Source organism: Homo sapiens, chromosome 4, assembly GCF_000001405.40.
Source record: "Homo sapiens chromosome 4, GRCh38.p14 Primary Assembly".
Classification (NCBI taxonomy): Eukaryota; Metazoa; Chordata; class Mammalia; order Primates; family Hominidae; genus Homo; species Homo sapiens.
The window spans coordinates 183,535,185-183,557,061 of record NC_000004.12 but is presented as its reverse complement, the minus strand read 5'-3'; the positions used below and the strand labels follow the sequence as shown (position 1 = coordinate 183,557,061).

At 44.9% G+C, this 21,877-nt stretch overlaps 1 long non-coding RNA gene across 1 annotated transcript, besides 2 other annotated features; it reads right to left on the bottom strand.

Annotated features, from left to right (window-relative positions):
• Window positions 1-147: 147 nt before the first annotated feature.
• LOC101929996 (uncharacterized) lies at window positions 148-13,440 on the bottom strand. The gene is made up of 4 exons (XR_939540.3): window positions 13,305-13,440; window positions 12,599-12,820; window positions 9,774-9,810; window positions 148-227 (listed from the first exon to the last, which is right to left on the bottom strand). It is a non-coding gene; the product is annotated as an uncharacterized LOC101929996 (long non-coding RNA).
• Window positions 15,215-16,010: an enhancer, noted in NCBI's record as "NANOG-H3K27ac-H3K4me1 hESC enhancer chr4:184462205-184463000 (GRCh37/hg19 assembly coordinates)". NCBI's record gives its function as "activates a minimal SCP1, AML or CMV promoter by ChIP-STARR-seq in primed H9 embryonic stem cells {active_cell/tissue: H9 hESC(primed)}" and the evidence as "EXISTENCE:reporter gene assay evidence [ECO:0000049][PMID:30033119]".
• Window positions 18,991-19,557: an enhancer, noted in NCBI's record as "OCT4-NANOG hESC enhancer chr4:184458658-184459224 (GRCh37/hg19 assembly coordinates)". NCBI's record gives its function as "activates a minimal SCP1, AML or CMV promoter by ChIP-STARR-seq in naive H9 embryonic stem cells {active_cell/tissue: H9 hESC(naive)}" and the evidence as "EXISTENCE:reporter gene assay evidence [ECO:0000049][PMID:30033119]".

Here is a 21,877-nt window from a genome sequence, read left to right as displayed (position 1 = left end):
GGCCCGGGCTGACAACAAGGTGTGGAAGCACAACCTGCCCCCGTTTATGGGGGTGATGTGAGGTCACCTGCAATGAACAGGGATGTCTAATCCTCTCTGACACAGTGGAGGAGTGAACAGCTGCAGATGATAAAACCATCTACCATCAAATCTTCCAGAGGTTTCCACTGAGTTTTGTCAGTGCAGTCAGCCCTCTGTATTCTTGAGGTCCTCATCTTCAGATTCAACTAGCCACAGATCAAAAATATTTGGAAAAAGAACAATTAAAAAAATAAAAAATAATACAAATTTAAAAACCAATATAGTATAACAACTATTTACATAGCATTTACATTGTATTAGGTATTATAAGTAATCTAGAGATGATTTCTAGAAAAGGGCCAGGCACGGTGGCTCATGCCTGTAATCCCAACACTTTGGGAGGCTAAGGTGGGTGTATCACCTGAGGTCAGGAGTTTGAGACCAGCCTGGCCAACATGGTGAAAACCATCTCTACTAAAACACAAAAATTAGCCGGGTGTTATGGCGTGCGCCTGTAGTCCCAGCTACTCGGGAGGCTGAGGTAAGAGAAGCGCTTGAGCCCGGGAGGCAGAGCTTGCAGTGAGCTGAGATCGCGACATTGCACTCCAGCCTGGGCTACAGTGGGACTTGGTCTCAAAAAATAAAAAATAAAATTTAAGAAGTATAGGAAACAATGTGCATAGGTTATATGCAAATACCACGCCATTTTATATCAGGGCATGAGCATCCAAGGATTTTGGTATTCTCGAGGGTCCTGGGACCAGTCCCCTGAGGATGCCAAGGACAGCTGTAATTTGAATGACTGTTGACACACACAATGTACTACTTCCGTCACTGCATTTTTGCATTGACCCTCATGCCTTTTCCAACGGCGGTATTATCCACAGCCTCATTTCAATAACATTGCGTTTTGGAACCAAGAGACAAACTACAAACATCAGGGCAGATTATGGTCTGGAGATAAGACTGCGTGTTACTAATATGAAATGTCATGATTTTGTTGACTGACTTGTTTATATCCTCACTTCATTCCAAAATTGATTTGATACAAGAGACGGGGATTAAATGTAATTTTGGATTTTTTTCTCTCCTATTTCTCTTTCTGTTGTTTTTCCCCTTTTTTCTTCTTCCCCTACTCCAGACACCAGGGAATAAAAGAAAAAGCTAAATGTTAATTATTTATTTGGCAGTTATTGAATGTCTATTACCAGGGCATGACAAGTGCTATGGATACAATAATAACTAAGAAAGTGTTTCTGCTCATTCGAATAAGTGTCTATTTGGTGGAGGAAACTAACACAGACAAACAAAAACATACAATCAAATATGATAAATACCCTAAGAGTGTTGTGGGGGTTTTGTTTTCTTTTTTTTTTTTTTTTTTTCTGAGATAAGATCTCACGCTATCCCTCAGGCTGGGGTGCCGTGGCATGATCATAGCTCACTGCAGCCTGCAGCCTGCAGCTTCTGGGCTCAGGCAATCCTTCCACCTCAGCCTCCCAGGTAGCTGGGGACATATAGCCTCTCACCACCACACCCAGATAATTTTAAAACTTTTTGTAGAAACGAGGTCTCGCTATGTTGCCCAGGTTGGTCTCGAACTCCTGGCCTCAAATGATCCTCCCTCCTCAGACCCTCAACGTGCTGGGATTACAGGTGTGAGCTGCCAAGCCCAGCCACCCTAAGAGAGTTTATATAAACAGAAGAGTATTTTTACTACAAAGTACTAGAGAGGTTCTTTCAGGAAAAGTCAAATTCTTTCATTCTTCCTTTCTGGGGAAGTTTCACAGAGTTGATATTAAATACAGAAGAAAGAGTGGGCCACCAGAGACCTCTGAACAGAATGGTTCAATCAGATTTGTTTTACAATGATAACTCTGGTGACAGCATAAGGTGGACAAGGTGAGAGAGGCAAGGAGACCAGCTGGTGATTGCAAACAGCCAACTGACAGGGTGCGGGCGGGTACTGTGGTGTGGCAATGAGCAGAGGAAGAGGGAGGGCTCAAGAGACACTTAAGAAACAGAAATGGACAAGAGTTGGCAATTGCTTATATGTGAGTGATGAAGACAAAATAGTGCAAAATGTGTTCCCTGTAATATACTTCTGGGCGAGGTAGAAAGGGTTGACTTTGGCTACATGTGTAAACACAATACGGTAAATCCTCACTTAACACCATCAATAGGTTCTTGGAAACTGCAACTTTAAGCAAAACGACAGATAACAAAACCTATTTTCCCATAGGTTAATTGATATAAACCAGAGTTAAGTTCCTAGGGCATAATTTCCCATCACAAAAATATCATCAAAGTTCTAAATAAAGGCCAAAACACTTCTCATGTTACACATTGTAATAAATGTGAGCCATACAAATATTTAAGAAGAACTAATCAAAACAAGTAAGAAGTATCCCCTTATTTCAGGTCCGGGTGGTGGGAAAAGGAAGTGGGGGGAAATAGGGGCATCCCAGCAGTTCAGGATGCCAGGTGGGACCCGCTCCGGTCAGGATGCCCTCCCATCGCAGGGTGACCCACATTCACCCACACTTACCCTCACCTGCACTCACTCACACTCACCCACACTCACCCCCCCACACACACACCCACTCACGCTCACCCTCCCCATCCACACTTACCCTCACTCACCTGCACTCACTCACACTCACCCACCCACACACACACCCACTCACGCTTACCCTCCCCCATCCACACACCCTCACCTGCACTCACACTCACCCACACTCACCCACACCCACTCACGCTCACCCTCCCCCATCCACACTTACCCTAACCTGTACTCACACTCACCCACACCCACTCACACACCCTCCCCATCCACACTTACCCTCACTCACCCGCACTCACACCCTTACCCTCACACCCTCACAACCCTCACCCACACCTCACCCACTCTCACTCACCCTCACCCACACTCATCCTCACACTCACCCTCACCCACTCACACCCACACCCACATTCAGACTCACCCACACCCACACTCACATTCACCCACACCCACATCCTCACTCACCCTCACCCACACTCACCCCCACACTCACCCTAACACCCTCACCCATACACCCACACCCTCACTCACCCACACTCACCCTCACCCACACCCTCACCCTCACACTCACCCTCACTCTCACCCACACTCACCCACACACTCACCCACACCCACACTCATGCACACTCACCCACACACCCAGATCCTCGCCCTCACCCACCCACACACCCTCACCCATGCTTACCCTCATACCCACACCCACCCTCACCCAGTCACCCACACTTACCCTCACTCATACTGTCACCCACTCACCCTCACCTACACTCACCCACACTTTCTCATGCTCACCCACACTCACACTCGCTTTCACCCACGCTCACCCACTTTCTCACACTCATCCTCACACCCACACTCACACTCATCCTCACACTCACCCACACTCACACTCATCCTCACACTCACCCACACTCACACTCATCCTCACACTCACCCCCACTCTCACACTCATCCTCACACTCACCCACACACACTCATCCTCTCACCCACTCATCCTCACACCACACACACTCACACTCATCCTCACACCACACTCACACTCATCCTCACACCCACACTCACACTCATCCTCACACTCACCCACACTCACACTCATCCTCACACTCACCCCCACTCTCACACTCATCCTCACACTCACCCACACACACTCATCCTCTCACCCACACTCATCCTCACACCACACACACTCACACTCATCCTCACACCACACTCACACTCATCCTCACACCCACACTCACACTCATCCTCACACTCACCCCCACTCTCACACTCATCCTCGCACTCACCCACACACACTCATCCTCTCACCCACACTCATCCTCACACCACACACACTCACACTCATCCTCACACCCACACTCACACTCATCCTCACACTCACCCACACTCACACTCATCCTCACACTCACCCACACTCACACTCATCCTCACTCTCACTCATCCTCACACTCATCCACACTCACACTCATCCTCTCACCCACTCTCACAGTCATCCTCACACCCACACTCACACTCATCCTCACACTCACACTCATCCTCACACTCACACTCATCCTCACACTCACACTCATCCTCACACTCTCACACTCATCCTCACACTCTCACACTCACCCACACTCACACTCATCCTCACTCACCCACACTCACACTCATCCTCGCACTCACCCACACTCTCTCACACTCATTCTCACACTCGCCAACACTCACTTTCACCCACGCTCACCCACATTCAACCACACACCCTCACCCATGCTGAGACCATGGAGACATGCCAGTTAAACGAATGGGCCCAGCTTTGGGACACGGGAGGAACCCAGAACCCTGGGAGAAAAGCCCCGCGGCAGTGAGAACAGGCAGCCCCCACCGACGGGGCCTGAGGGAAGCGTTTTCCTCTCTTCAGCATGACGTCCTTATTGGAGGGCCTGCCGCAGCTGCTGTTCTCCTGCCTGGTGTGTGGGCTCCTCTTATTTCTGGGAGTGGAGATGAATGGAACGACCCCCTCTGACCTTACTAGTGACGTTGAACAACTCAGACTCTGGTGAGCTCTGAGTGACCCGGCCGACCCTCCGCTGCAGGGCAGACTCAGCCCAGGAGTGGCCAAGCACAGGGCGGCCCCCCAGCTACACTGAGTGGTCCAAGGAGGGGTCACCTGACCAAGAGTGAGGTCAGGGCTCTTCCCTGGGATGCCTTCAGACTAAGAGAAGGAGAAACCCTTTCTTTTCCAGTTTCTGGTGGCAGGACCCAGGGCTGCCAGGGATCCTGGTTCCCAATCAAGGGGAAACCATTCTGAGAGAATTCAGGGAGGCGCGGGGCGTTGCTGCCCTTCAAGCATTCGGTTCCAGTGAGCCCTGAGGTCTGCCACACCCTTGCGCTTTCTGAGGTCTGGTCAGTGTGCCAAGAAACGGCCTTTCCCTTCCCAAGTGAGTCTGTATTACTCGTACCCAGAGTCCTATGCCTGCTCAGAGGGTTACTATTATTATAGTTAATTTTTTTAGAGACAGGGTCTCACTCTGTTGCCCAGGCTGGAGAGCAGTGGCACAGTTATGGCTCAGTGCAGCCTCAAATTCCTGGGCTCAAGCCATTCTCCTGCCTCAGCCTCCTGAGTTGCTGAGACCACAGGTGTTCACCATCACACCTGGCTAATTCAGAGGGTTACTGTGAGGATTCGTGTTCATGTATGATGGCACTATGGCGGATCCCTCCTCAGGTCTCTTGGCCTCTCTTGATCTGGGGCCTCAGGCCAGACCATCACTGTAGCCATCAGCTCTGCATGGACTCCTACCAACTTCACACAGGCACAAACTCCAGAGATCAATTCTTCCCCCTTCCTCCCCTAAATGGTGTCCCAAAAAGTGATTGTCTTAGAAGATGGTTCCTATGATCAAGTTTGACCCCAAGGTAGTGGCCAGATTGGTAACTCACCTTCCTCATGGTTGCCCTACCTTCCCCGCTGCGCTCCCTGAGCTCTCTCCTGCCCCCTGGGCTTGTGCTACCTAATACAGCAGCACAGGTATAAGCTGAGGCGAGAATTTAGGCTACAGAGAGCATTCAGTGGACGGGAGCTGGCGTCATGATGTCTTCTGTATCTGACGACCTTCACCCCCATCAATTGCTTTAGGACTTCAGAGTCCCTCCTGCACTGAAAAAGCCAAGGCTTCTTGTATTCATTTACCTTCTCTCTCCCTTCCTTCCTTCCTTCCTTTTTCTTTCTTTTCTTTTCTTTCCTTCCTTCTGTCTTTCTTTCTTTCTTTTCCCTCCTTCCTTCCTTCCTTTCTCTCTCTTTCTTTCTTTCCTTTTTTTTTTTTTTTTTGGTCTCACTCTGTCACCCAGGCTGGAGTGCAATGGCATGATCTTGGCTCACTGTAACCTCTGCCTCCCAAGTTCAAGCAGTTCTCATGCCTCAGCTTCCCGAGTAGCTGGGATTACAGTTGTGTGCCAGCACGCCTCGCTAATTTTTTGTGTGTTTTCAGTAGAGATAAGGTTTCACCATGTTGGCCAGGCTGGTCTCAAACTCCTGACCTCAGGAGATCCACCCACCTAGCCCTTCCAAAGTGCTGGGATTACAGGCATGAGCCACCACGCCTGGCTGTTTTCCCCTCTTTCTTTACTTCTCTTCCCCAGCTCCACCCTTTCTTTCTCTTGTTTTCCATCTTTTTGTTACTGTATTGCCTAATGTTTCAAAGAAAGTCTGCATATTTTGCAATGTTTAATAAAATATTTTCTCATTTACAGAAATCATTTCCTTTGGTTAAACCTTGTGTGTCAAACAGAGACCCAACAGGAGAAAAGAGGGCATGCTCAGATAAGGATATGTTGATGTGAGTTAATAAAGAGGCTATTTACAGAAGTGTGGCTAAGGTATAGAGAAACTGCAAGAGATACCGCAGCCCCACCTCTGGGTGAACCAGACAAGGAGAAGAGCATTTGCCAGAACAGAAAGGAGCCAGTGGTGAGGGAGAACCACCCTGAGAGGAGCTCTGACCTGGGGTTAGGGATCAGACAGCCAGGGGTAGAGTGCAGAGAGGCAGTACTTTTGCTTTCCAATCATCAACACCAAAGCATTATACTTCTTATATATTGAAGTGTTCCTTCAATATATAATAACATTTAAATTGCCTTTTTTTTTTTCTTTTCAGAGACGAGGTCTTGCTATGTTGCCCAGGCTGGTCTCAAACCCTGAGCTCAAGTGATTCCCCTGCCTCAGCCTCCCAAGTGCTGGAATTACAGGCATGAGCCACCATGCCCGGCCCTGAAAATCATAAAGATTGTCTTTCTTTATGATTTTCAGAAATTACCAGTTTATAGTTCTATGAAAAGAAATATGTGTGGTCTTTATGATACACCCACCCAGAGCATAAATATAATGTGCATATTAGAAGCTTGTCTATCAGAAAATAGGAAGATATTTTAACTCTTAATACTCAAATCAAGAAGGTTAAGGAGGGTAAAATTTCTTACAAAAGGGAATCCTCTCTTCACTGCTCCCTGCGTACACATTTTGATGAGAATTTCCAGTTCCAGACTCTCTAGTTCTAATAAACCTACCTACTCGGGGAGACAAATATGAAATAGTACAAATAAGCAAATTGAAGAAGTCATACTTCACTTGAGTCCCTTTCAAGGCCTTCTGTAAATGAGCCATTATAATAAACTCATGAAAATGCATAAAAATAACATTCAGAATGAACAACATGACTCATAGTTTTGAGTAAAATTGATGTGAACTTTTTACAGGAAGTTTACACATAAATTCTCACTTAAATGTGGAAACGATATAACTCGATTTTGGTATGATTATAGTTTCATTTAATTATGATTTAGGATAATAATTTGAGAAAATACATCATTGAATCATAGTTCAAGGGAAATTTATTTTTAATTTAAAATGAATGTAACTGAAGAAACTAAGCTGTCACATTTTAGAACAAGTAAACGAGCAAGGAAACCCCGGAAGCCACACTCAAGGAGTCCGCTTTTCCTTCCAGTGAGCTGGCCAGAGTTCTGCTAGAAAATACAGTGACTGGGCCGGCCGACTGAGGCAGAGCTACCTGTCACATAGGGATGTTCACAAATATTGCTGAAAGCAAGACTGACACCCATTTTAAGGATTCCATCTGACTAAAAACCTCTGCACAATCAACAAAATGAAAAAGCATGTGGAGTGGGAGAAAATATTTTCAAACCATGCATCTGATAAGTTCCCCAAAATATATGGGAAACTCAACTCGATAGCAAAAAAAAAAAAAACAAAAAAAAAAACCCAAGTAACCTCATTTTAAAGATAGGCAAAGGACCCAAATAGACATTTCTCCAAAAAGACATAGAAATAGCTAACAGGTGTATGGAAAGATGGTCAGCATCATTAATTGTTACCAAAACACCAGGGGTTTGGACTGGGCCCTGCTGCTCACTGCACAGAAAGCCAATCACTGAGACAATGAGTATTGCTGAGGAAGAAGCTTTAATCTGGTGCTGCAGTCAAGGAGATGGGAGCTCAGTCTCATATCCTTCTCCCTGACCGGCTAAAACTAGAGGTTTATATAGCAGGGAAGAAATGTAACAATGTGTAAGAAAACAGAAACTAGAGAGGGGCGAGGGAGTAATCATGATGAATGAGGGTCCCACATCTCATTGTCTGGATGTGGTGATCTGGTGTTCTTCGCTATTTTTTTTCGACAGGTCTGAAAGTGGTTTTCAGAGGAAGGAACTCAGATAAAACAAATGTAAGGTTCTGATTTTAAGACCAGAATGGTCAATTTCTATGTTTATCCATAAAATTATCTATGGGACTATTGGGTTGGTTTCATAATCATCAGGGAAATGCCAATTAAAACCACTATGAGATATGATCTCACACATTTAGGATGGAAAAAAGATGAAAGATAAGTGTTGGCAAGAGTGTGGAGAAAGGGGAAGCCTTCTACACCGTAGGTGGGAATGCAAATTAGTATAGCCATATGGAAAACAGTATGGAGGTTCCTCAAAAAACTAAAAATAGAACTACGATATGATCTAGCAATCCCACTACTGTGTATATATCCAAAGGAAATGAAATCAGAAATCTACATTCTCACGTACATTGCAGCATTTTCACAATGGCTAAGATATTGAATCAACCTATGTGTCCATTGACAGATGAATGGATAAAGAAAATTTGGTGTATATGCACAATGGAATACTATTCAGCCAAAAAAGAAGGATATCCTGTCATTTGTGACAATATGAATGAACATGGAGAACATTATGCTAAGTGAAATAAGCCAGGCACAGGAACACAAATACTGCATGATCTCACTTACATGTGGAATCTAAAGAAATTGAACTCATAGAAGTAGAGAGTAGAACAGTGGTTACCAGGGGCTGGAGGTAAGGGGAGGAGATGGAGAGATGTTGGTGACAGGGTACAAAATATCAGTTAGGATGAATAAGTTCTGGACATCTATTGAACAACGTGGTGACTGTGATTACTCATAATGTATTTCATACTTGAAAATTGCTAAGAGAATAGATCTTAAATGTTCTCACTGCAAGAAAAGAATAAGCATGTCTGGTGATGGATATGCAAACTAGCTTGATTTAATCATTTCACAATGTATGTGGATAGCAAAATGTGACTTGTGTACCATAAATATATATAATATTTATTTGTCTTTTATAAATAAATTGCTTAACTTTTTAAAAAGAAAAAAAAAAAGACTGATGACCACTTTAGAGATTAGGAAAGTGAAAGACAATTAACTGAAAACTTTGTTCAAAAGCTTTCCTCCAGAGGCTGGACGCAGTGGCTCATGACTGTAATCCAAGCACTCTGAGAGGCTGAGGTGGGCAGATCGCTTGGCCCAGGCGTTCCGCTTGAGCTTAGGAGTTTGAGATCAGCCTGGACAACATGGTGAAACCCTGTCTCTACAAAAAATAGCTGGGTGTGGTGGCATGTGCCTGTAGTTCCAGTTACTTGGAAGGCTGAGGTGGAAGGACTGCTTGAGCCTGGGAGGTCAAGGCTACAGTGAGCCAAGATTGCGCCACTGCCCTCCAGCCTGGGTGACAGAGCAAGACCCTCTCTCTCAAAAAAAAGCTTTCCTCCACCTAGCAATATGGTCGGCAATAGAATAGACCTCAGTGCAGAAACTCTGGTGGAATCATGACTATTAGTCCACTATCCATTCATTCAGCAAAATATTTATTGAGCACCTACCATATGCCAGACTCTGCTCTGAGTTTTGAGGATACACCTGTGAACAAAACAAAATTCCTGAACTCAAAAAGTTAGATTCTAGTTGGGAGGGAGAGGTAGCAAACAATACATATATCAGACATAACATATATCCTGCATGACAAATGCTATATTTAAAAATTACAGCAAAAAATAGACATGTGCACTCATGTTCATGGAGCATTGTTCACAATAGCCAAAAGGTGGAAGCAAACCAAGCATCCATCAACAGGTGAATGAATAAACAATATGTGCTCTGTACACACAATGGAATAGTATTCATCCTTAAAAAGAAGGAAATTCTGCCACATGCTGCAACACGGATCAACCTTCAGGACATTATGCCAGTGAAATAAGCTAGTTACAAAAAGCGACACACTGTGCAAGTCCACTTATATGAAGTACATAGAGTAGTCAAATTCACAGAGAGGAAAGGAGATTCGTGGTTGCTAGGGGCTGGAGGATGAGAGAATGGGGAGTTATTGTTTAGTGTGTACAAAGGTCTAGTTTTGTAAGATGACAAGAGCTCTGGAGATGAATGGTGGTGATGGTTACACAGCAATATGAATGTAGTGAATACCATTGAACTGTACGCTTAAAAACAGGTAAGGTAGCTGGGCGCAGTGGCTCACACCTGTAACCCGAGCACTTTGGGAGGCCAAGGCAGGAGGATGTCTTGAGGCCAGGAGTTCAAGATCACCCTGGGCAACAGAGTTAGATCTAATCTCTACAAAAAATTTAAAAATTGGCCGAGCATGGTGGCGCATGCCTGTGGGCCCAGTTACTTGGGAGGCTGAGGTGGGAGGATTGCTGGAGCCCTGGAAGCGGAGGTTGAAGTGAGCCATGATCTCACCACTGTACTCTAGCCTGAGTGACAGAGTGAGACCCAGTTTCACACACACATACAAAGATAGTAATTTTTATGTTATGTGTATTTTATCACAATTGAAAATATTTTTTAGAAAAAGCATAGACAGACCAGGAACTGTGGCTCACGTCTGTAATCCCAGCACTTTGGAAGGCCAAGGCGGGTGGATTGCCTGAAGTCAGGAGTTCGAGACCAGTCTGGCCAACATGGTGAAACCCCATCTCTACTCAAAATACAAAAAATTAGCCAGGCGTGATGGTGGCAGGCACCTGTAATCCCAGCTACTCGGGAGGCTGAGGCAGGAGAGCCACTTGAACCCGGGAGGCGGAGGTTGCAGTGAGCTGAGATCACACTATTGCACTCCAGCCTGGGCAACAAGAGTGAAACTCCACCTCAAAAAAAAAAAAAAAAAGAAAAAGGATAGTATGTTGGGATGGGGTTAGCATTGTTAGATAAGGGTTCTCTCAACAGACTAAGAACACCCTTACAGTTTGTCCAAAAGGATACCCAAGAAACTAGAATCAATGCCTGCCTCTAGGGAAACGAACCCAGGGACAAGAGGTCAAGAGTTGGAACGGGGGCCAGCCGCAGTGGCTCACACCTGTAATCCCAGCACTTTGGGAGGCCAGATCACTTGAGGTCAAGAGTTCAAAACCAGCCTGGTCAACATGGGGAAACCCTGTCTCTACGAAAAAAAAAAAAACAACCATTAGCCAGGAGTGGTGGCATGTGCCTGTAATCCCAGTTACTCAGTAGGCTGAAGCAGGAGAATCACTTGAACCCAGGAGGCAGAGGTTGCAGTGAGCTGAGATGGCGCCACTGCACTCCAGCCTGAGTGACAGAGTGAGACTCCATCTTAAGAAAAAAAAAAAAAAAAGAGTTGGAAGGGGATTTATTTTTATTGCATATTATTTTATTATTTATTTACTTATTTATTTATTTTTAGACAGAGTCTCGCTCTGTTGCCCTGGCTGGAGTGCAGTGACACAATCTCGGCTCACTGCAACTCTGCCTCCCAGGTTCAAGCGATTCTCACATCTCAGCGTCCCAAGCAGCTGGGATTACAGGCGTCCACCACCACGCCCGGCTAATTTTTGTATTTTTAGCAGAGACGGGGTTTCACCATGTTGGCCAGGCTGATCTCAAACTCTTGACCTTAAGCAATCTGCCTGCCTTGGCCTCCCAAAGTGCTGGGATTACAGGCGTGAGCAACCAAGCCCAGCTCCTTTTATGTGTATTGAATATTTTATTGTGCTTTTGTACTACCTACTCATAAAAAACTGGCCGGGCACAGTGGGAGGCTGAGGCACTTGGGAGGCTGAGGCGGGAAGATCACTTGAGGCCAGGAGTTTGAGACCAACCTGGGCAACATAGGGAGACTCCCTTTCTACAAAAAGTTAAAAAATTAGCTGGGTGGGGTGGCTGGAGACCCATTTGACAATCCATTTACTACAAGCTTGTCAGTATTTAGAACTGGGGCAAGATAAGTTAAATGATGTAGATGTTTTATTTCTTTTTAGTTGAGGGCAGGCAGGAGATGGTATTTGCTAGTAGACATTCTGAATGATGTAGCCGAGGCATCTCAAATAACATATCTGTTTAAGAACATAAATGCCTACCTTAACAAAATAAAGCCTCATCTTTTAATGCTGGCGATGGGGGGAGAATCTCTACAAGAGAGCCTTTGTCCCAAATTCATATGTGCTGCAGAGATCTCCCCTAATTGTTATTATTTCTCACTGGCTTGAAGGAAGGAAGAATTATACTATTCATTTTATGTTCTCGAAGACATAATAGCACAGTTAACAGTAGGACTAGAGTATTTTTATAATTCTCTGCTCAAGACTAAGAAAAACAAAAAAAGCACATGATACAATATAACTACATTATTTGGCTTATAAAATATGTCCTCCTCTGAGTCTTACAGGCTGCAATCTACCTGCAGTCTGATGTGCAGCTATCTGGTGAGTGCTTCTTGAAACCCGGATTCAAGAGAGAGCTAGGTGTTTCCTCTTGCTGAAGTCCACATTTTGAATTACAGCTTCCACGTGGACAAATGTCTTCCTTCCAAAATGGCTGCCCCATGCGACTCATGTCCTAGCCTGACCTCATCAGGGAAATCTCTCTTCCCTCCCCACAAAGTGGGGAATTCCCCTGCAGTCTGAACGAGAACAGCATATCCCAAGTCAGCACAAACAGAGAGGACGCTGCTTTTGCAAAAGAGGTTTTCATTGCAGTCAAAACTGAAAACTTCTTTTCCCCATCACACCAGTCCTGCTGCTTATTCTGGGTTCTTGATTAATTTACTCTAGAAACTAGAAATTATTCTGGACTCCTGTCTTCCTACCTCCCACTTCCCCACGTCCGACTAGCCACTTGGTCTTCCAATGACTCTACTTTCTGAATAGCTCTCAAATTAGTCCACTTCCCTCCATCCCCCATCCCACGGCCTCTAATCCAAGGTGCCACGATCACCCTGAGGTGGACGACTCCAGTTTCTCCCATTCCAGTCTCCTCACTACGCTGTCCACAGTGATTTCTCCAAATCCAAATCTATTCACATCAATTCCCTGCTAAAAACTTTCACAGCTCCCCATTGTCTCAAGTGTCAATCCTAAAACCCTTGCAAACATGCCCCAACTTACTTGTCTTATTTCATCCACCTGCCTCAAAACACCTTGTTAGCCTTCGGGACAGCTGTAGGGTTCCCAGAAAATGCAGCCTTTCACAGCTGTCTGACCTGGCCCCAGCGGTTCCCTCTGCCTAGAATGTCTTCACATTTTCCAGCTGGCAAATGCTTAGTCTTCCTTCAAAATCCATCCAATGTTTTTGTGCCTGTGTTTTTAAACATGAAGTTTCTCTGACTCCCCTAAATGGTCAGCAGCTTCCTCCTCTGAATCCAAAGCACTTTGAATGGAATTCAGACAGCATTTTTCTTATTTTATTTTATTATTATTTTTTTTTTGAGATGGAGTTTTGCTCTTGTTGCGCAGACTGGAGTGCAATGGCGCAATCTCAGCTCACTGTAACCTCCACCTCCCAGGTTCAAGCGATTCTCCTGCCTCAGCCCTTCAAGTAGCTGGGACTACAGGTGCCCGCCACCACACCTGGCTAATTTTTCTACTTTTAGCAGAGACAGGGTTTCACCATGTTGACCAGGCTGGTCTCAAACTCCTGACCTCAGGGGATCCGCCTGCCTCGGCCTCCCAAAGTGCTGGGATTACGGGCATGTGCCACTGCACCCAGAGTTGCATCTTTCATATTTTATAGCAATTGTTTTCAATTCTGCCTTTCTTCTTCTTCCCCAGACTGAAAGCTTCTGAAGAGAGAAGACTATCTTTGTATCTTCACTTAGCGCAAGACCTAGACATAACAGAAGCTCAAGAAATGTATTCATTAACTCATTCATTAAAAATAATTGTTAGTGTTTGTTGCTTGTGAAACTGTGGGCTGAGTGCTGGGGATGTAACACTGCAAGAGACAGACGTGATCCCTGTTCTCTGGGAACTTGAATGATGAACAAATTAACTAAACATCCTGCAGTTTTGTTTTTTTTCTTCTTAAAACTATTTCAGTTTTGCTCAGCCTTCACCCAAAGAATTCAGATTAGTTGATACTTACACTATCATCTCTTCCCTAAAACACCAACCTTGCCAGTGACAGTATTAGGACCAATAAATATTGCCATGTTTTGAGTTCAAAGAACTTCAAGTCCCCGTCTCTGCCTTCCGGAGGTGTGTAGTCTGGCTGAAGAGTGAAAACCAACATATGGAAAAATTAGGAAACAATATAGGGAAATAATTCAGTGCTAATTGTTTGGGACAGACTGCATATTTTCAGAAGGGAGATAATGAAGTCAGTCATATAATTAGTGTATAATTGATAGCTCATGCTGTGCACACCATCAGTGAATTCAGCACAGCAGCAAGATAACTTTCAATACACAAGACAAGGCTTTGCTCCCTACCCTAGCATAAGAATCAGATCTGTGGGAAAATGGACCTGTGCCTCAGCCTGGGAGGTGAAAGGGACTTCCACGATGACATGTAAAAAGAAACAGAAAAGTGCCGTCCCAAAACTCATATTTCTGGAGTCCCTTTCACAGAGCATGGAGGCGCCTGGGTTGGAAAGAGCTGCTGTTTTACTTATCAATTTGTTTTTCACAAGAAGAGGAATTGGAGAACAGTGGGGGGAGAGGGTCATTCAGGACCCCAAACTCTTCATGGCCCCCAACGGGTTCTTGCCAAGGGCGACAGGAAAGCACCTGCCATACTCTGAGTGTTTGTATTCTTTAAAAAAATTTTTTTTTATTATACTTTAAGTTTTAGGGTACATGTGCACAACGTGTGGGTTTTTGTATGAATAGATTTTTCCTCTTGAATATTCCTTTCTCAAACACCCTTGTTCTGGCTGCCCCCAATCCCTTATAAGCCAGCAAGCCAGGTCTGTGGCTTTGACAGGAGCAAACACAGCCCTGAGCTGCTCTCTGCATGGCCACCCTCCCTGAGGAGCCAGTGGATTCTCCTTCTGGCGCTCGGGGGCTGTGCAAGGGGAATGCAGAAGGCTGAATTCCACATTCTTGAAGCTGTCTGCAACAAATCCGGCCTCTTGAAGAGCCCCTTAATTGAGGTATTCTGAGCTTTATCCCAATTAGCCTCATCAGTGCTAGAGTAAATCCTCTTCACTCTTTTCCTTCATACCTAAGAGTCTAGATCAGGACAAACCAGCCCCACACAGCAAAAGGGAAAGGAACATAGGAACCAGCATTGCCTAACTATATGGACTACATTTGTTAGACTGTTAGACTTCGGGCAACAAGAGACAGAAATATTAGATATGGTTTGATAGGCATAATATTTCTAAATGTAAATGCCTTCAAAGGCCTCTGGAAAGACCCTCCCTTAAGGAGACTCCCTCACGTCCATTGCACATCAGTTAAGCAGTTAAGGACTTCAGAGAGAAAAGAAAGGCAGCCCGCAGTTACCATGAGAACGTGCCCTCCTGGTCTCAGAGACTTTGTGTTTACATTTTTAACTAGATATGGCCTTAGCAGCGTTGGCCCAGGTTCCACACTTGAAATTAATGCACTGGAAGGCTCGTAAGGGTCAGAGGTGAAGAACCCAGGCTTGTGTTTCAGCCCAGCAGACTCGGCAGGGATGAAACAACACGTGGGTCCCATGGACACTGATGTTCTTGGGTTTGTTTCAAGGAGATAGCACGCTCTGTTTGTTAAAGCTAACAATTGTAGCGTTGACGGAAAAAGCTTGACTTGGTTTTCATTCTTCCCTGAAGTAAACACTATTTTTTTCTTTACAGTACAATGACGCGATGCACATTTGGAAATATGACTTTTTTTCTTTTGGTAGCACAGTACCTAGAATCTCCTTTAAAAATCTGTTTCTAAAGGGAAAAAAGTTCCATTTGAAGGAAGCATTAATATTTTCCGTATGTGTTGGCTCCCGAGGGTGGAATTAATATTCAGATTCAGATTCAACCCATGTGGGTTGGCAAGTGGAGGCGTGTAGATCACAAGCAAGCGGCAGCCGTGCGAGTCTCAACTGATCAAGAAATCCACCAACCTCGCAGGTGTGAAAAGCTGGTGGGGCTCAGTGGGCTCAGCTCTGAAATCAAGCCCTCAGCCAGGCTTTGAGATGAAATTTCATGAGCAACACCGATTGAAGCAGCTCCTCTCATAGGTCAAAAGATACTTTTCCACTTTGTGAAACGCATGGGCGAAGACATTCATGGAGTATCTGAGCTGCAGGGGGCCACAGAGATCACCCCGTGTGGTCCCATGTTTGACAGCTGAGAGCAGTAGAATGCACGGTAGCAGCAGGACCTGCCCAGGTCTGGATAGCTCCAAGGTCAGGCATCACTGCCCTCAGTCCCAGGCTCCCAGTGCTATGCCCAGGGCCACGCACATAATTCTACAATCTGCAAACCATTTTCCCATTTTGGAAAAAAAAAAAAATATATATATATATATATATATATTTTTTTTTTTTTTTTGAGACAGAGTCTTGCTCTGTTGACTAGGCTGGAGTGCAGTGGCATGAGCTCGACTCACTGCAACCTCCGCCTCCTGGGTTCAAGTGACTCTCCTGCCTCAGCCTCCCGAGTAGCTGGGGAAAATTTTTTAAATGTGCATATGTGATTCCAGAAAACATAAACAAATAAGATTTGATGTTTCCGGCCTTCTTAAGCTGTCATTTTATAAAAATTAGTTTCTTTTTGCTTTGTAGAGATAAGGTCTCACTCTGTCACACCCAGGCTGGAATGCAGTGGCATGAGCTCGACTCACTGCAACCTCTGCCTCCCGGGTTCAAGTGATTCTCCTGCCTCAGCCTCCCAAATAGCTGGGAAAAATTTTTTAAATGTACATATGTAATTCCAGAAAACATAAACAAATAAGATTTGTTTCTGGCCTTCTTAAGCTGTCATTTTATAAAAATTAATCTCTTTTTCTTTTTAGAGATAAGGTCTCACTCTGTCACGCCCAGGCTGGAGTGCAGTGGCACACTCATAGCTTACTGCAACCTCAAACTCCTGCTCAAGTGATCCACCCACCTCGGCCTCCGGAGTAGCTGGGACCACAGGCAGGCGAGCGTCATCACGCCTATCTAATTTTTTTTTAAATTTTTTGTAGAGACAGGGTCTCACTATGTGCCCAGGCTGGTTCCAAACTCCTGGCTTCAAACCATCCTCCCACCTCAGCCTCCCAAGTGCCTCAGCCTCCCACCACACCCAGTCAATTTTTTTTATAAGTAGGTAGTACAAAAGCACAATATAAAATTCAAAATACATGAAAAGATATACAGTAAAAGTAAATCCTCTTCCTACTCTTGACCTCCAGTCCCTTAGTTTCCTTCCCTAGAGGCAGGCATTGATTCTGGTTTCTCGTGTATCCTTTTGGACAAACCCTAAAGGGCAATCTTTTAAAATTATTTAAGATGCATTTTTGAGCCGGGCATGGTGGCACATGCCTATATTCCCAGCTACTCAGAAGGCTGAGGCAGAAGGACAGCTTGAGCACAGGAGTTCAAGGCCAGCCTGGGCAACGTAGCAAGACCCTGTCTCAAAAGCAAAATTCATTTTTGCCATTTTTTCCTTGTGATCACAAACGCCTGTGTGGACACTGACTGAATAATACCTAGTATTGCCCAGGTAATTTCTCATGAAAGCTAAATAGCAATAACCTGAGAAGATCTACAGGCAGGTGGGAAAAAGCAGATTGCGGCCTGATTGCTGCTTTCCTTCAATATTTTGTATCCAACATCTACATTTTCTTTCTAAAATTTCTGTGTCTACAAACAAATGAAGAGCTCACAACATGGCTGTTCAGAATTTGTGGTTTTCAATAAGCAACTGCCACCATTTAGAATAATCAACAGAAAGCCAGTTCTTCAATTTTTTTTTTTTTTTTTTGAGATGGAGTCTCGCTCTGTCACCCAGGCTGGAGTGCAGTGGCATGATCTTGGCTCACTGCAACCTCCACCTCCCAGGTTCAAGTGATCCTCCCGCCTCAGCCTCCCGAGTACCTGGAACTACAGGTACACACCACCATGCTCGGCTAATTTTTGTATTTTTAGTAGAGACAGGGTTACGCCATGTTGGCCAGGCTGGTCCTGAGCTCCTGACCTCAAGTGATCCACCACCTTTGCCTCCCAAAGTGCTGGGATTACAAGTATGAGCCACTGTACCCGGCCCCCAATTCTTCATTTCTGAAAGACAACAGTCACAACCTGGTTGCTATAGTTTGGATATGGTTTGTTAGGCCCACCAAGTCTCCTGTTAAAGTGTGGTTTCAGTGTCGGAGGTGGGGCCTGGTGGGAGATGTTTGGGTCATGGGAGTGGATCCCTCATGGATGGCTTGGTGCTGTTCTCATGGTAATGAATGAGCTCTCCCTCTATTAGACCCCAGAAGAGCTGATTATTAAAAAGAGCCTGGCACCTCCCTCCACTCTCTCTAGCTGTCTCTCTTCCATCCTCTCTTGCCACGTGATGCCGCTCCTCTTTGCCCTCTGCCATGAGTGGAAGCTTCCTGAGGCCCTCACCAGAAGCAGATGCTGGTGCCTGCTTCTTGACAGCCTGCAGAACCACGAGCCAATAAAGCTTTTTTCTTCACAACACAACAAACCCAGACTCGGGTTTTCCTTTAAGCCTTTTCAGATAATTCGTCATTATCTGTGATTTAAAATCGAGACTCATAAAGAATAAGGTAGAAAGCCAGGAATACCTATTTGTTGTGTCTCTTTCTGAGCTTTCTCTGATATTTATGTACCCCCATTGCTCCAGGTCATGCCCCCTTTCTTTGCTGGGACTATTAAAATAGACGCCTTTGGTTATCCCTGCATAATCAAGACACTGTGGTCAAATCCTAGGGGGTGAGTGGGAGAGGGTTACAGGGAAAAGTCAGAGGTAACAGGGACCATGGTAATGAGTTTCAGCTTCATTGTACTGACACTGACAGTGAAATGCTATTGCAAGATTTGAAGCAGAGGGTTTACCTCAACACACACACACACACACACACACACACACACACACGCAAACACACACACACACACACATACAAGCAGCTGAGCCTTGAACAACAAAGGTTCAAACTATGCAGGTCCATTTATATGCAGATTTTCTCCCACCTCTGCCACTCCTGGGACAATAAGACCAACCCCTCCTCTTCATCCTCCTCCTCAGCCTACTCAACATGAAGCTGACGAGGATGAAGACCGTTATGATGATCCACTTCCACTTAATGAATAGTAAATATATTTTCTCTTCATTATGATTTTTAAAATATTTTCTTTTCTATAATTTATTATGCAAATATGGTGCATAATATATATACAAAATATGTGTTAATCAACTGTTTAAGTTATTGGTAAATCTTTTGGTCAACAGTAGGCTATTCGTAGTTAAGTTTGGGGTGTTTGGGGTTTTTTTTGAGACAGGGTCTCACTCTGTCACCCAGGCTGGAGGACAGTGGCATGATCATAGTTCATTACAGCCTCGACCACCTGGGCTCAAGCAATCCTCCCACCTCAGCCTCCCAAGTAGCCAAGACTACAGTCATGTGGCACTACATCCAGCTATTTTTTTTATTTTTTTTTTTTATTGTTTTTTTAAGCAGAGATGAGGTCTCACTATGTTGCCCAGGGTGGTCTTGAACTCCTGAACTCAAGCAATCCTCCTGCCTTGGCCTCCCAAAGTGTTGGGATTACAGGTGTGAGCCACCACGTCAGGCCTAGTAGTTAAATTTTTGAGGATTCAAAAGTTATATGTGGATTTTCAACTGTGTGGGGGCTGGCATCCCTAGCCCTGTGTTGTTCGAGGGTCCACTGTATGTATATGTATATTAAAAATATTTATATTGGTCGGGCTTGGATATGGCTCACTCCTGTAATCCCAGCACTTTGGGAGGCCAAGGCGGGTGGATCACAAGGTCAGGAGCTCGAGACCAGCCTGGTTAACACGGTGAAACCCCATCTCTACTAAAAATACAAAAAATTAGCCAGGCCTGGAGGCGGGCACCTGTAGTCCCAGCTACTCGAGATGCTGAGGCAGGAGAATGACGTGAACCCGGGAGGCAGAGCTTACAGTAAGCCAATATCGCGCCACTGCACTCCAGCCTGGGCGACAGAGCGAGACTCCGTCTCGAAAAAAAAAAATAATGTATATCATATATGTGTGTATATATGCACAAACACATACATATAACATATTTAAATGGTTCAGACTGCCATGTTGAGAATGACTGTAAGGGAATCAGAGGCTTTGTAGGAGCTGAGCTGAAAGATGATGAGGGCTGAGCTGTGGTAGTAGTGGTGGAGATGAAGAGAACTGGATGAATTCAGAGCATGTCTTGAAAGGAGAGGAGACCGAAGTTGCTATTGGATTGAACACAGACAAGAGTGATGGAAAGAGAATTAAAAATAATTCCTGTCTCTCTGGTCTTTGTTCCTGGACAGATGCAGTTCTATCCCGAATTGAGATAGTATAGGGGGGGAAGCAGAATTTGAGAGGGGGCGTGTGGAGAAGTCAGGAGTTGTAGGTACCAATTGCTGCTTCCCTCAGGATCTCTGTCAGAGTAGACATACTGATTTCTCTCCTACTATACTAGCTCCTTCTCCTCCCTCTTCTCTGCTGCTCCTTCCTCATCCTCTCAATCTCTTCACATTGGAGGGCCCCAGCTCCTTTCCTGGGCCAGTCATCTATCCATTCTCACTCCTTTGGGGATTTCTTCTAATCTCATAGCTTTATAGGCTACCTAAATATTATTATTCTCTCCCAAATTTTAATCTCCAGGCCAGACTTATACCTTGATATCCAGTCCTATATATCCAACTGCCTTCTCAACATCTCTAACACACAACTCAAACTTTCCTCTCAAATTAGGATTGCCAGATAAAATAAAGGATGCCCAGTAAATTTAGAATAACAGCACATAATAAGTATAAGCAATAGTGCATGGGATGTACTTATACTAAAGTGTCTGTTGTTTTGCTGAAATTCAAATTTAACTGGACTTCCTGATTTTTTGTTGTTAAACCCAGCAACCTTACTCAAAACCATGTTCAACCCACTGTCTTCTTTGTCCTAACTGGTAGCAACTTCATCTTTCCAATTGCTCAGGCCAGAGATACTTGTGTCCTCCTTCACTCTTTTTTTCACATCCCATATCCATTCTGTCAGCAAATATTATTGGCTCTACCTTCAAAACATATCCACGATCTGAAGCTTTTTGTTATATATCTTCACTGCTACTACGTGGGGCCAAGACACTATCATCATTGAAACGGCTAAAATAGCCTCCCAGCTCTTCTTCCTTTGTCCCTTAGAGGCTATTCTCAACAAAGCAGGCAAAGAGAGCTTTTACAAAGTTAGACAAATTATGTCACTCCTCTGCTTAAAACTGTTGGCAGATCTCCATCTCAGTTGGTATAAAAACCAAAGTCCTTCCTATGGCTGACCATGCTCCATGGGATCCGCACCTGTACCCTCCGTTTCTTCTCTGATCCTCTGTCCTGCGACTCTTCCCTCACTCTACTCACTTCCTTGCTGTTTCTTGAACACACAAAGCCATACCTGCCACAGCGACTTGAAACTTACTGTACCTTCTGCCTCCACTGTTATTTCCTTAAATGAGCCACACGGGCCACTCCTTCACCTCCTCCAAGTCTTTGCTGAAGTGTCACCTTCTCAGTAGGACAGTCTGTCT